We start from the raw sequence: 16,351 nt of genomic DNA on the forward strand, positions 1-16,351 counted from the left end.
TCCTAATCCCTGAAACCTATGAATATATAATTTTACATGGTAAAGGAGTATTTGCATACGTGATTAAGTTAAATAATTTGAGATGAGGAGATCATTTGGGCTTATCTGGATAGGCCCAATGTAGTGACAAAGGTCCTCATGAGAGGGTGGCTGGAGGATCAGAGTTAATAGTAGGAAACAGGAGGATAGAAGCAAGAGTTTGGAGTAATGTGAAGAGGGGGTACAAGCCAAGGAATGCAGGTAGTCTCTAGAAGATGGAAAAGAGAAAAACATTCTCCTCTGGTGCCTACAGAAGTAATGCAGCCCTACCAATACCTTAAATTTAAGACTTCTTTCCTTCAGAACTGTAAAATATTACATTTTTATTTTATGCCAGTAATTTTGTGTTTTTTTTAATAGCAGCATTAAAAAACTAATATGCTTCCCCAACTTCCACGTGATGTTTTCCTCATAAGATGTACTTCAAAATCATTATGCCTTCTGTAATACTTTATCAAAACTGAAGTAGCAAACATCAGGCTTTTTGTACTAACATGTACAATGCATGAAGCTCAATATTCAATTTAACAAACAGAATGATAAAGTTAACTTAAAGAAGATAAAAAGATATGATTGATAAAACAGAATATTTGGGTTGTAGAGTATCTATTGCAGCTGCTTTATGTATCACTTTACTTTGTAGCCAAATTGCCCATTCTCAGATTCTAAAAGAGATACATTTAATTTAAAATGGATCCTTCCTTTGACAAAACTTCGGATGAGACCCTAGTCCTGACCAGCACCTTGATTGCAGCCTTATGAGAGACCATGTTGTAAAGAACCTAGATATGCCATGCCCATATTCTTCACCAACACAAACTCTGAGATAACAAATGTAGATTTTAAGCTGTTAAGTTTTGGGGGATACATTTTATGCAGCAATGGACAGCTAATATACACTCACTTCTAAGAAGGACATACTGGATTGATATGAATTGCCAAATATTGTTCTGAGTGCTTTCATACTCTACTTTGCAAGCAAAAGCCTCTGTGCTCCTCTTCTTACAGAATTTAGAGTCCTTGAGCACAGTGTCAAAGCTAGTATCAGCATTAAAATTAAAATCTTTATCTCTGGGACTCTGAAGGGTATACTCTTCATTATATCACCACTCCTCTCTCAGCCTTCAGTAATCACTCAAACAAAACTGATCATTTGCTATGAATCCCCACAGCAACTTGTGCATATGTGCATCATAACACTGTCTCATAGACGGTTCTGTATTTGTGTTAGTCATGCGTTTATAGTCATCTTCTCTTAGTCAAGAGAGACCATCAAATATTTACTTTTCTGTTTCCAGTCTCTGTCATTATGTTTTATATTCATTTATTTAATAAAAAATAATGATTGAGATCCTATTATTGGGCAATAAATATGTATTGAATGAGTAAATGAACAACACAGTATAAATAATACACCTGCAACTACTAGGACAAAGAGTAAAAGAATGTGTGTGTGTGTGTGTGTATAACAGTTTCATATATATATGTAATTTGCAAATAGTAATAAATAATTTTGTATAATGTGTAAATACATGCAATAAAACAGTTTTAGATATTATATATAATACTATATATTGTTACACCTATACTTACTAATATTGTAAATATTATTAACAGAGTAAGAGAATTTTGCTTGTGGTTTGATCTTCTATTCAGATCACTAAAACTTTCTCCATGTAAGCAATAAGGCTGCTTCACTAATTTTTTTACATTTATTTTAAGTTCAGAAATACCTGTGCTGGTTTGTTATATAGGTAAACTTGAGTCATGGGAGTTTGTTGTACAGATTATTTTATCAACCAGGTAATAAGCCTAGTATCCATTAGTTTTTTTTTTTCTGGTCCTCTCCTTCCTCCCACCCTCCACCCTCTGATAGGCCCCAGTGTGTGGTGTTCCCCTCTATGTGTCCATGTGTTCTCATAATTTAGCTCCTTAAGTGAGAACATGTGGTATTCGGATTGCTCTGTTCCTACGTTAATTTGCTAAGAATAATTGCCTCTAGCTCCATCCTTGTTCTTGCAAAAGACAGGATATCATTTTTTTTCATGGCTTCATAGTATTCCATGGTGTATATGTACCACATTTTCTTTTTTTTAATTATGCTTTAAGTTCTGAGATACATGTGCAGAATGTGCAGGTTTGTTACATAAGTATACATGTGCCATAATGGTTTCCTGCACCCATCAATCCGTCATCTACATTAAGTATTTCTCCTAATATTATACCTCCCCTAGCCCCCCACCCCCGACAGGCCCCAGTGTGTGATGTTTCTCTCCCTGTCTCCATGTGTTCTCATTGTTCAAATCCCACTTATGAATAGGAACATGCAGTGTTTGTTTTTCTGTTCCTGTGTTAGTTTGCTAAGAATGATGGTTTCCAGCTTCATCCATTTCACTGCAAAAGACATGAACTCATCCTTTTATATGGCTGCATAGTATTCCATGATGTCTATGTGCCACATTTTCTTTATCCAGTCTATTATTGATGGACATTTGTGTTGGTTCCGAGTCTTTGTTATTGTGAATAGTGCTGCAACAAACACACATGTGCATGTGTCTTTATACTAGAAAGATTTATAATCCTTTGAGTATATACCCAGTAATTGGATTGCTGGGTCAAATGGTATTTCTGGTTCTAGATCCTTGAGGAATCACAACGTTGTCTTCCACAATGGTTGAACTAATTTACACTCCCACCAACTGTGTAAAAGTGTTCCTATTTCTCCAAATCCTCTCTAGCTTGTTGTTTCCTGACTTTTTAATGGTCACCAATCTAATTGGTGTGAGATGGTATCTCATTGTGGTTTTGATTTGCATTTCCCTAATGACCAGTGATGATGAGCTTTTTTTCATATGTTTGTTGGCCACATAAATCTCTTTTGAGAAGTGTCTGTTCATATCCTTTTCCCACTTTTTGATGGGGTTGTTTGTTTTTTTTTTCTTGTAAATTTGTTAAGTTCTTTGTAGTTTCTGAATATTAGCCCTTTGTCAGGTGGATAGATTGCAAAAATTTTCTCCCATTCTATAGGATGCCTGTTCAGTCTGATGATAGTTTCTTATGTTGTGCAGAAGCACTTTAGTTTAATTAGATCCCATTTATCTATTTTGGCTTTTGTTGCCATTGCTTTTGGTGTTTTAGTCATGAAGACTTTTCCCATGCCTGTATCCAGAATGGTATTGCCTAGGTTTTCTTCTAGGATTTTTTTATGGTTTTAGGTCTCAAGTTTAAGTCTTTAATCCATCTTGAGTTAATTTTTGTATAAGGTGTAAGGAAGGGGTCCAGTTTCAGTTTTCTGCATATGGCTAGCCAGTTTCCCCAACACCATTTATTAAATAGGGAATCCTTACCCCATTGCTTGTTTTTGTCAGCTTTATTGAAGATCAGATGGTTGTAGATGTGTGGCGTTATTTCTGAGGTCTCTGTTCTGTTCCATTGGTCTACATACCTGCTTTGGTACCAGTACCATGCTGTTTTGGTTACTGTAGCCTTGTAGTATAATTTGAAGTCAGGTAGCATGATGCCTCCAGCTTTGTTTTTTTGCTTAGGATTGTCTTGGATATACAGATTCTATTTTGATTCCGTATGAAATTTAAAGTAGTTTTTTCTAATTCTGTGAAGAAAGTCAATGGTAGCTTGATGGGAATAGCATTGAATCTATAAATTACTTTGGGCAGTACATTTTCCGATATTGATTCTTCCTATCCATGAGCATGGAATGTTTTTCCATTTGTGTCCTCTCTTATTTCCTTGAGCAGTGGTTTGTAGTTCTCCTTGGAGAGGTCCTTCACATTCCTTGTAAGTTGTAATCTTAGGTATTTTATTCTCTTTGTAGTAATGTGAATGGGAGTTCATTCATGATTTGACTCTCTGTCTATTATTGGTGTATAGGAATACCTTTGATTTTTGCACATTGATTTTGTTTCCTGACTTTGCTGAAGTTGTTTATCAGCTTAAGGAGATTTTGGGCTGAGATTATGGTGTTTTCTAAATATACAATCATGTCATCTGCAAATAGAGACAATTTGACTTTATCTCTTCCTATTTGAATACCCTTTATTTCTTTCTCTTCCCTGATTGCCCTGATGAGAATTGCGATACTATGTTGAATAGCAGTGGTGAGAGAGGGCATCCTTGTCTTGTGCCAGTTTTCAAAGGGAATGCTTCCAGCTTTTGCCTATTCAGCAAGATATTGGCTGTGGGTTTGTCATGAATAGCTCTTATTTTTTTGAGATTTGTCCCATCAATACCTAGTTTATTGAGAGTTTGTAGCATGAAAGGCTGTTGAATTTTGTTGAAGGCCTATTCTGCCCCTACTGAGATAATCATGTGGTTTTGTCATTGGTTCTGTTTACATGATGTGTTATGTTTATTCATTTGCATATGTTTAACCAGCCTTGCATCACAGGGATGAAGCCTACGTGATCATGGTGGATAAGCTTTTTGATGTACTGCTGGATTCGGTTTGCCAACATTTTATTGAGGATTTTTGCATCAATGTTCATCAGGGATATTGGTCTGAAATTCTCTTTTTTTGTTGTGTCTCTGCCAGGTTTTGGTTTTAGCATGATGCTGGCCTCATAAAATGAGTTAGGGAGGAGTCCCTTTTTCTGTTGTTTGGAATAGTTTCAGAAGGAATGGTACCAGTTCCTCTTTGTACCTCTGGTAGAATTTGGCTCTGAGTCCTTCTGGTTCTGGATTTTTTTTGGGTGGTAGGCTATTAATTATTTCCTCAATTTCAGGACTTGTTATTGATCTATTCAGGGATTCAACTTCTTCCTGGTTTAGCCTTGAGAGGGTGTATGTATCCAGGAATTCATCTATTTCTTCTAGATATTCTAGTTTATTTGTGTAGAGGTGTTTATAGTATTCTCTGATGGTAGTTTGTATTTCTGTGGGATCAGTGGTGATATCCGCTTTATCATTTTTATTGTGTCTATTTGATTCTTCTGTCTTTTCTTCTTTATTAGCCTGGCTGGTGGTTTATCTATTTTGTTAATCTTTTCCAAATACCAGCTCCTAGATTCGTTGATTTTTGGAAGGGTTTTTCGAGTCTCTATCTCCTTCCGTTCTGCTCTGACCATAGTTATTTCTTGTCTCTGGTAGCTTTGGAATTTGTTTTCTCTTGCTTCTCTAGTTCTTTTAGTTGTCATGTTATGGTGTTGATGTTAGATCTTTCCTGCTGTCTTCTATGGGCATTGAGTGCTATAAATTTCCCTCTAAACACTGCTTTAGCTGTGTCCCAGAGATTCTGGTACATTGTGACTTTGTTCTCATTGGTTTCAAAGAATTATTTATTTCTGCCTTAATTTTGTTATTTATTTTTGCCTTAATTTTGTTAGTCATTCAGGAGCAGGTTGTTCAGTTTCCATGTAGTTGTGCAGTTTTGAATACATTTCTAAATCTTGAGTTCTAATTTGATTACCCTGTGGTCTGAGAAGCTGTTTGTTATAATTTCCATTCTTTTGCATTTGCTGAGGAGTGTTTTACTTCCAAGTACGTGGTCAAATTTAGAATAAGTGCAATGTGATGCTGAGAAGTATGCATATTCTGTTGATTTGGGGTGGAGAGTTCTGTAGATGTCTATTAGGTCCTTTTGGTCCAGAGCTGAGTTCAAGTCCTGAATATCCTTGTTAATTTTCTGTCTCATTAATCTGTCTAATATTGACAGTGGGATGTTAAAGTCTCCCACTGTTATTGTGTGGGAGTCTAAGTCTCTTTGCAGGTCTCTAAGAACTTCCTTTATGAATCTGGGTGCTCCTGTATTGGGTGCACATATATTTAGGATAGTTAGCTCTTCTTGTTGCATTGATCACTTTACCATTAGGTAATGCCTTTCTTTGGCTTTTTAAATCTTTATTGGTTTAAAGTCTGTTTTATCAGAGATAAGGATTGCAACCCATGTTTATTTTTCTTTTCATTTGCTTGGTAAATATACCTCCATCCCTTTATTTTGAGTCTATGTGCGTCCATGCACATAAGATGGGTCTTCTGAGTACAGCGCCCAGGTGGGTCTTGACTCTTTAATCAATTTGCCAGACTGTGTCTTTTAATTGGGGCATTTAACCCATTTACACTTAAAGTTAATATTGTTATGTGTGAATCTGATCCTGTAATTATGATGCTAGCTCGTTATTTTGCCCATGAGCTGATTTAGTTTTTTCATAGTGTCGATGCGCTTTACAATTTGGTATGTTTTTGCAGTGGCTGGAACCAGTTTTCCATTTCTACATTTAGTGTTTCTTTTAGGAGTTCTTGTAAGGCAGGCCTGGTGGTGACAAAGTCTCTTGGCATTTGCTTGTCTGTAAATAATTTTCTTTCTCCTTCGCTTATGAAACTTAGTTTGGCTGGATATGAAATTCTGGGTTAAAAATTCTTTTCATTAAGAATGTTGAATATTGGCCCCGACTCTCTTCTGGCTTGTAGGGTTTCTGCAGAGAGATCCACTGTTAGTCTGATGGACTTCCCTTTGTGGGTAACCCGACCTTTCTCTTTGGCTGCCTGAACATTTCTTCCTTCATTTCTACCTTGGTGAATCTGATGATTATGTGTCTTAGGGTAGCTCTTCTTGAGGAGTATCTCTGTGGTGTTGTCTGTATTTCCTGAATTTGAATGTTGGCCTGTCTTGATAGGTTGGGGAAATTCTCCTGGATAATATCCTGAAACGAGTTCTCCAACTTGATTCCATTCTCCCTGTCACTTTCAGGTACACCAACCAAATGTAGGTTTCGGCTTTTCACATAGTCCCATGTTTCTTGGAGGCTTTGTTTGTTCCTTTTTCTTTTCTCTAATCATGTCTTCACATTTTATTTCATTAAGTTATCTTCAATCTCTGATATCCTTTCTTTTACTTGATCGATTCGGCTATTGATACTTTTGTATGCTTCACAAAGTTCTCGTGCTGTGTTTTACAGCTCGATCAGGTCATTTATCTTCTTCGCTAAGCTGTTTTTTCTAGTTAACAATTCCTATAACCTGTTTTCAAGGTTCTTAGCTTTTTCACATTGCGTTAGAACATGCTCCTTTAGCTTGGAGGAGTTTGTTATTACCCACTTTCTGTAGCCAACTTCTGTCAATTCATCAAACTCATTCTTCATCCAGTTTTGTTCCCTTGCTGGTGAGGAGTTGTGAACCTTTGGAAGAGAAGAGGCATTCTGTTTTTTGAAATTTTTGGCCTTTAGGTTTTTCCTCATCTTCGTGGATTTATCTACCTTTGGTCTTTGATGTTGGTGAAGTTCACATGGGGTTTTTGTGTGGATGTCCTTTTTGTTGATGTTGATGCTATTCTTTTCTATTTGTTAGTTTTCCTTCTAACAGGCTCCACTGCTGCAGGTTTGCTGGAGGTCCACTCCAGACCCTATTGCCTGGCTATCACCAGCGGAGGCTACAGAACAGCAAATATTGCTGCCTATTCCTTCCTCTGGAAGCTTTGTCTCAGAGGAGCACCTGCCAGATGCCAGCTGGAGCTCTCCTGTATAAGGTGTCTTTTGACACATGCTGGGAGGTGTCTCCCTATCAGGAGGCATGGAGTTCAGGGACCCACTTGAGGAGGCAGTCTGTTTCTTAGCAGAGCTCGAGCGCTGTGCTGTGAGATCTGCTGCTCTCTTCAGAGCCGGCAGGCAAGAACTTTTAAATCTCCTGTAGCTGGGCCCATAGTTGCCCCTTTTCCCAGTTGCTCTGTCCCAGGGAAATGGGAGATTTATGTATAAGCCCCTGACTGGGGCTGCTGCCTTGCTTTCAGAGATGCCCTGCCCAGAGAGGAGGAATCTAGAGAGGCAGTCTGGCTACAGCAGCTTTGCTTTGGTGGGTTTCCCCCAGTTCGAACTTCCCAGTGGCTTTGTTTACACTGTGAGAAGAAAACTGCCTACTCAAGCCTCAGTAATGGCAGACACCCCTCCCCCTACCAAGCTGGAGTTTCCCAGGTGGACTTCAGACTGCTGTGCTGGCAGCAAGAATTTCAAGCGAGTGAATCTTAGCTTGCTGGGCTCTGTGGGGGTGGGATCTGCTGAGCTAGACCACTTGGCTCCTTGGCTTCAGCTCCCTTTCCAGGGTAGTTCATGATTCTGTCTCACTGGCATTCCAGGAGCCAAGGGGGTATGAAAAAAAAAACTGTGGCTAGCTCGGTGTCTGCCCAAATGGCTGCCAAGTTTTGTGCTTGAAACCCAGGGCCTTGGTGGTGTAAGCACCCGAGGGAATCTCCTGGTCTGCTGGTTGCAAAGACTGTAGGAAAAGCATAGTATCTGGGTGGGAATGCACCGTTCCTCAGGGCACAGCCCCTCATGGCTTTCTTTGGCTAGGGGAGGGAGCTCCCCGACCCTTTGCACTTCCCGGGTAAGGCAACACCCCACCCTGCTTTGGCTTTCCCTCCGTGGGCTGCACCCACTGTCTAACCAATCCCAATGAAATGAGCCAGGTACCTCAGTTTGAAATGCAGAAATCACCCGCTTTCTGCATTGATCTTGCTGGGAGCTGCAGACCGGGGCTGTTCCTATTTGGGCATCTTGCCAGCACTTCCCACATTTTCTTTATCTAGTCTGCCATTGATGGGCATTTAGGTTGATACCATGTGTTTGCTATTGTGCATAGTGCTGCCTGAACTTAACATTTATGTGTTCCCTGGAGTAGTATGTTTAATTTTCCTTAAGAACTTTTTTTGCATTTAAAACTTGCAACATTTATGTGCACAAAGTTTCTTTTTATGTGCTGAATGTTTTGAAAACAATTCTTTGGAAATTATACTTTTCTGCCTTGTATTATTTCTGTTATTATTTCCTAGGATAGGTTTGTATACATATATGCATTTAAGACGATATAGCTCTTCTTCACTCATGAATTATAAAATTCTACTTTCAAAATGCCATCTTATCTATGTTATTTTGGTAAGATGGGTTTTAGTGGATTTCTTGATTTGGTTGCTTAATTTTCTAAGTAATGTGCTTCCTATGGCACACTGCCAATTGCCCAACCACTGCTACACTTACTAGAATTATAAATGGACTGCTTTCTGTTTAACAGTTTATGTACCCTTTAATCATGGATGTGGGTATAATAATAACTCTCTTCTAAGATGTCCAATAGCTTGCTGATGTAGTCAAGCCAGATACGTCTCTGGGAGTGTCTTTCCTTCCATATTTAATACTCTCATAATAATCAAGGATATAAACAACAGAAAGTAATGAGCAGCTTTCTTAAGTTACAAAAATATTCTCAGCTGTTCAATCCCTCTGCCATTACTGTTATTGGTCAAGTTTCCTCTCTTACTAATTTTAAACAATTATATTTTTCCAGGACAAAATGTTTTTTTTCCAAACATAGATTGTAAATTTTAAAATAAAATATGATTTATGTAATTTATTATTTTAATTTTGTTATTTTTGTGAAGTTCATGGCATATTGAATGCTTGTGTTTGATCAAAAGTGAAGGAATTAAATACCACCAGATATTCTACTCTGAAGAACTTTTTTCACTTCTTTCCATAGTTTTAAAAAACATAATATGGTAATTAAAAACAACACATTAGACTCTACACTGATATGTATGGACAGAAAAAGACTCCCCAAGGCCTTTACTCTCATTTTAAATTGAATAGTTTTATAGAGGACAAAGATAGTTCTAGATGTAGGTTTTAACCAGACCAAGCAAATGAAACCAGAAATTATCAAAGGTACCATATAAAATGGCAGAAAACTGGAGTATAGTTCTTTTAAATGGTATTCATACATTTTTATGTTGAAATAAAAATTATCTTTTCAAAATAAATCATATTTGACACTTGTTAGAGGTAGACATAGATTTTCAGAAAAAATTCTTTCTTAGAATAGGTAGAAATAAGAAATAAGGGAAAAGAGAAGTTGACTAGTTGACCAAACAAACAAGGGTGAAGGTAGTAAGTTACTTCTTCCACAGAACAGCTTTAATTATGACAAGTGACAATTAATCCAGGCTCTCTCCACTTATGAAGTATCTTGAAAATGGCCTATCTTAACCCTCATCACAGATTTCCAAATGGAAACTTAGAAACCCATTCATTAATTCTTCTCCTTTATTTATATGGTATGGCCTATTAAGTCTACCACTTAACTCTAGAATTCCTTCATCTTGGAGATCCAGAGTACCATTGTATTATATTTCCTCTAGTCACCTGAACTAAATAAAAATGAAAACATGACATAGCAAAATTTATAAGATATGGATAAAGCAGTTGTTAAAAAAACAATAATAAACACTTACATTAGAAAATAAGAGAAGTCTTAAATCCATGACCAGAACTTCTACCTTAACAAACTAGAAAAAAACATAAAATAAAAAGTAGGCAAAAAATATTGTAAAGATATAACGAAAAATTAATTAAATGGAAAAAAGAGAAGTGAAACCACAAGCTGGTTTATTGAAAAGATGATAGATAAATAGATGATAGATAGGTAGATAAATAATAAAAATTACCAATAGTAGGAATATGACGAGATATTACTATAAACTAGGCTGACATTATAATGATAATAGATAGAAAACTTAATGCATTTGGCAACATAAACAAAATAGACAAATTTTTTGGAAGAAAGAAAATGCCAAAACTCACACAAGAAAAAAAATACGTAAGTGAATAGCTCTACAATCTTTCTTTTAAATGGCAGTTTAGCAAAAACTTTTTCTCACAAAGAAAACTGTAGGCTCAAATGGTTTTCAAACACTTAGGGAAGAAACAATAATTCTACACAATTTTTTTCCAGAAAATATAAGGTGAGTAGAAACTCCCTAACTCATTCTATTAGCCCAACATTATCCTCAAAACAAAACTAGGGAAATACATTACAAGAAATTAAAACTATAGACAAATATCCATAATGAACATGTACATAACCATTCTTAACAAAATTTTAACAAATTAAGACCATCTACATACAACAATGATAACACACCATGATGATGCAGGGTTTATCTCATGAAAGCAAATGAACTTAACACTTTTTAAAAATAAAAAATACAATTTTTATTTTTATTTTTATTTTTATGTTTTCCTTTATAAATTACCCAGTTTTGGGTGTGTCTTTATTTTTTTATTTTTTTAATTATACTTTAAGTTTTAGGGTACATGTGCACAACATGCAGATTTGTTACATATGCATACATGAGCCATGTTGGTGTGCTGCACCTATTAACTCATCATTTAACATTAGGTATATCTGCTACTGCTAACCCTCCCCCCACCCCCCACCCCACAACAGGCCCCAGTGTGTGTTGTTCCCCTTCCTGTGTCCAAGTGTTCTCATTGTTCAATTCCCACCTATGAGTGAGAACATGTGGTGTTTGGTTTTTTGTCCTTGCGATAGTTTGCTGAGAATGATGGTTTCCAGCTTCATCCATGTCCCTACAAAGGACATGAACTCATCATTTTTTATGGCTGCATAGTATTCCATGGTGTATATGTGCCACATTTTCTTAATCCAGTCTATCATTGTTGGACATTTGGGTTGGTTCCAAGTCTTTGCTATTGTGAGTAGTGTCGCAATAAACATACGTGTGCATGTGTCTTTATAGCAGCATGATTTATAATCCTTTGTGCATATACCCAGTAATGGGATGGCTGAGTCAAGTTGGTATTTCTAGTTCTAGATCCCTGAGGAATCGCCACACTGACTTCCACAATGGTTGAACTAGTTTACAGTCCCACCAACAGTGTAAAAGTGTTCCTATTTCTCCACATACTCTCCAGCACCTGTTGTTTCCTGACTTTTTAATGATTGCCATTCTAACTCGTGTGAGATGGTATCTCATTGTGGTTTTGATTTGCATTTCTCTGATGGCCAGTGATGATGAGCATTTTTTCATGGGTCTGTTGGCTGCATAAATGTCTTCTTTTGAGAAGTGTCTGTTCATATCCTTCGCCCACTTTTTGATGAGGTTGTTTGTTTTTTCTTGTAAATGTGTAGGAGTTCATTGTAGATTCTGGATATTAGCCCTTTGTCAGATGAGTAGATTGCAAAAATTTTCTCCCATTCTGTAGGCTGCCTGTTCACTCCGATGGTAGTTTCTTTTGCTGTGCAGAAGCTCTTTAGTTTAATTAGATCCCATTTGTTAATTTTGGCTTTTGTTGTCATTGCTTTTGGTGTTTTAGACATGAAGTCCTTGCCCATGCCTATGTCCTGAATGGTATTGCCTAGGTTTTCTTCTAGGGTTTTATAGTTTTAGGTCTAACATTTAAGTCTTTAATCCATCTTGAATTAATTTTTGTATAAGGTGTAAGGAAGGGATCCAGTTTCAGCTTTCTACATATGGCTAGCCAGTTTTCCCAACACCATTTATTACATAGGGAATCCTTTCCCCATTGCTTGTTTTTGTCAGGTTTGTCAAAGATCAGATAGTTGTAGATGTGTGGCATTATTTCTGAGGGCTCTGCTCTGTTCCATTGTTCTATATCTGTGTTTTGGCACCAGTACCATGCTGTTTTGGTTACTGTAGCCTTGTAGTATAGTTTGAAGTCAGGTAGCATAATGCCTCCAGCTTTGTTCTTTTGGCTTAGGATTGACTTGGCAATGTTGGCTCTTTTGTGGTTCCATATGAACTTGAAAGTAGTTTTTTTCCAATTCTGTGAAGAAAGTTATTGGTAGCTTGATGGTGATGGCATTGAATCTATAAATTACCTTGGGCAGTATGGCCATTTTCATGATATTGATTCTTCATATCCATGAGCATGGAATGTTCTTCCATTTGTTTGTATCCTCTTTTATTTCCTTGATCAGTGGTTTGTAGTTCTCCTTGAAGAGGTCCTTCACATCCCTTGTAAGTTGGATTCCTAGGTATTTTATTCTCTTTGAAGCAATTGTGAATGGGAGTTCACTCATGATTTGGCTCTCTGTTTGTCTGTTATTGGTGTATAAGAATTCTTGTGATTTTTGCACACTGGTTTTTTATGCTGAGACTTTGCTGAAGTTGCCTATCAGCTTAAGGAGATTTTGGGCTGAGACGATGGGGTTTTCTAGATATACAATCATGTCGTCTGCAAACAGGGACAATTTGACTTCCTCTTTTCCTTATTGAATACCCTTCATTTCTTTCTCCTGCCTGATTGCCCTGGCCAGAACTTCCAACACTATGTTGAATAGGAGTGGTGAGAGGGGGCATCCCTCTCTTGTGCCAGTTTTCAAAGGGAATGCTTTCAGTTTTTGCCCATTCAGTATGATATTGGCTGTGGGTTTTTCATAGACAACTCTTATTATTTTGAAATACATCCCATCAATACCTAATTTATTGAGAGTTTTTAACATGAAGAGTTGTTAAATTTTGTCAAAGGCCTTTCCTGCATCTATTGAGATAATCATGTGGTTTTTGTCATTGGTTCTGTTTATATGCTGGATTATGTTTATTGATTTGCATATGTTGAAACAGCCTTGCATCCCAGGGTTGAAGCCCACTTGATCATGGTGAGTAAGCTTTTCGATGTGCTGCTGGATTCGGTTTGCAAGTATTTTATTGAGGATTTTTGCATCGATGTTCATCAGGGATATTAGTCTAAAATTCTCTTTTTTTGTTGTCTCTCTGCCAGGCTTTGGTATTAGGATAATGCTGGCCTCATAAAATGAGTTAGGGAGGATTCCCTCTTTTTTCTATTGACTGGAATAGTTTCAGAAGGAATGGTTCCAGCTCCTCCTTTTACCTCTGGTAGAATTCGGCTGTGAATCCATCTGGTCCTGGACTTTTTTTGGTTGGTAAGCAATTAATTATTGCCTCAATTTCAGAGCCTGTTATTGGTCTATTCAGAGATTCAGCTTCTTCCTGGTTTAGTCTTGGGAGGGTGTATGTGTCCAGGAATTTATCCATTTCTTCTAGATTTTCTAGTTTATTTGCATTGAGGTGTTTATAGTATTCTCTGATGGTAGTTTGTACTTCTGTGGGATCAGTGGTGATATCCCCTTTATCATTTTTTATTGCAGCTATTTGATTCTTCTCTCTTTTCTTCTTTATCAGTCTTGCTAGCAGTCTATCAATTTTTTGATCTTTTCAAAAAAAGCAGCTGCTGGATTCATTGATTTCTTGAAGGGTTTTTTGTGTCTCTATTTCCTTCTGTTCTGCTCTGATCTTAGTTATTTCTTGCCTTCTGCTAGCTTTTGAATGTGTTTGCTCTTGCTTCTCTAGTTCTTTTAATTGTGATGTTAGGTTGTCAATTTTAGATATTACCTGCTTTCTCTTGTGGGCATTTAGTGCTATAAATTTCCCTCTACACACTGCTTTGAATGTGTCCCAGAGATTCTGGTATGTTGTGTCTTTGTTCTTGTTGGTTTCAAAGAACATCTTTATTTCTGCCTTCATTTCGTTCTGTAGCCAGTAGTGATTGAGGAGCAGGTTGTTCAGTTTCCATGTAGTTGAGCGGTTCTGAGTGAGTTTCTTAATCCTGAGTTCTAGTGTGATTGCACTGTGGTCTGAGAGACAGTTTGTTATAATTTCTGTTCTTTTACATTTGCTGAGGAGTGCTTTACTTCCAACTATGTGGCCAATTTTGGAATAGGTGTGGTGTGGTGCTGAAAAGAATGTATATTCTGTTGATTTGTGGTGGAGAGTTCTGTAGATGTCTATTAGGTCCGCTTGGTGCAGAGCTGAGTTCAATTCCTGGATGTCCTTGTTGACTTTCTGTCTCGTTGATCTGTCTAATGTTGCCAGTGGGGTGTTAAAGTCTCCCATTATTATTGTGTGGGAGTCTAAGTCTCTTTGTAAGTCTCTAAGGACTTGCCTTATGAATCTGGGTCCTCTTGTATTGGGTGCATATATATTTAGGTGAATCATCTTTTTTTTTTAATTATACTTTAAGTTTTAGGGTACATGTGCACATTGTGCAGGTTAGTTACATGTGTATACATGTGCCATGCTGGTGCGCTGCACCCACTAACTCGTCATCTAGCATTAGGTATATCTCCCAATGCTATCCCTCCCCCCTCCCCCCACCCCACCACAGTCCCCAGAGTGTGATATTCCCCTTCCTGTGTCCATGTGATCTCATTGTTCAGTTCCCACCTATGAGTGAGAATATGTGGTGTTTGGTTTTTTGTTCTTGTGATAGTTTACTGAGAATGATGATTTCCAATTTCATCCATGTCCTCATCTTTTTAAAGTGCTCTTGAATTTGGTTTGCTAGTATCTTTTTGAGGATTTTTGTTCCTGTGTTCACGAAGGATATTGGTCTGTCATTTTCTTTTCTTGCAATGTAGTTGACAATCTTAGATATCACAGTAATACTGACCTCATTAAGGGTTTAGAAGTATTCTCTCTTCTGCATTAAAAAATTATTGGGAATATTGGTAATAGTTCTTTAAATATTTGGTAACATTCAGCAGTGAGGCCATCAGGTCTTGGGCTTTCCTCTAATGGGAAATATTAATTACTGATTCAAAGTTTTTACCGTTTATTTATCTGTTCAAACTTTCTGTTTCTTCTGGATTAAGTATTGGTATGTTATATGTGTCTAGGTATTTCCACATGTTTTCTAGGTTATATAATTTGTTGACATTCATATTATTCTTTTAAGATCCTTTATATTTCTGTGATATCAGTTATAATGTCTCCTCTTTAATTTTTTGTTTTTATTTGACAAATTCTCTTTTTTTGTTATTTTAGAGCTTCCTTCCTTTTGATATAGGTATTTATTGCTGTAAATTGCTCTCATATGACTACTTTTGCCTCATCCCATAGGTTTTGTTCTTTTGTGCTTACATTTTTGTTTTTCTAAAGGTATTGTTTTTATTTCTCCATTAATTTCTTCTTTTGTCCATTGGTTGTTCAATAGCATGTTGTTTAATCCCACATATTTTTGAATTTTCCAAAACTTTTCTTATTATTGATTTCTACTCTCATACTATTGTGGTCAGAAATGATATTTGATATCTAAATCCTCTTAAATTTGTTCAGACTTGTATGCCCTAACACATGATATATCCTGGAGAAACTTTTATGTAAACTTGAGAAGAATGTGTACTCTGTTGCTGCCTGATGGAGTGCTCTGTATCTATTTTTATAACCATTTTTGGTCTAAAGTGCTGTTTGAGAGGTGTTCTATTTGCTTTTTTATCTGGAAAAATTGTCCATTGTTGAAAATGGGGTACTGAAGTCTTGTAGTATTTTTGTAGTACAGTCTATCTCTCCTTTCAGAGTCTCATATTATATATATATATATATATACACATATATATTTTATATTTATAATATGTGTGTGTGTTAGTTCCAATGTTGTGTTCATATATTTACAATTGTTATATCCTGTTGATGAATTGACACCTTGATCATTATAAAACGACCTTCTTCATCTCATTATGCAATTTTTGGCTG

This window comes from Homo sapiens, chromosome X, assembly GCF_000001405.40.
Source record: "Homo sapiens chromosome X, GRCh38.p14 Primary Assembly".
NCBI lineage: Eukaryota > Metazoa > Chordata > Mammalia > Primates > Hominidae > Homo > Homo sapiens.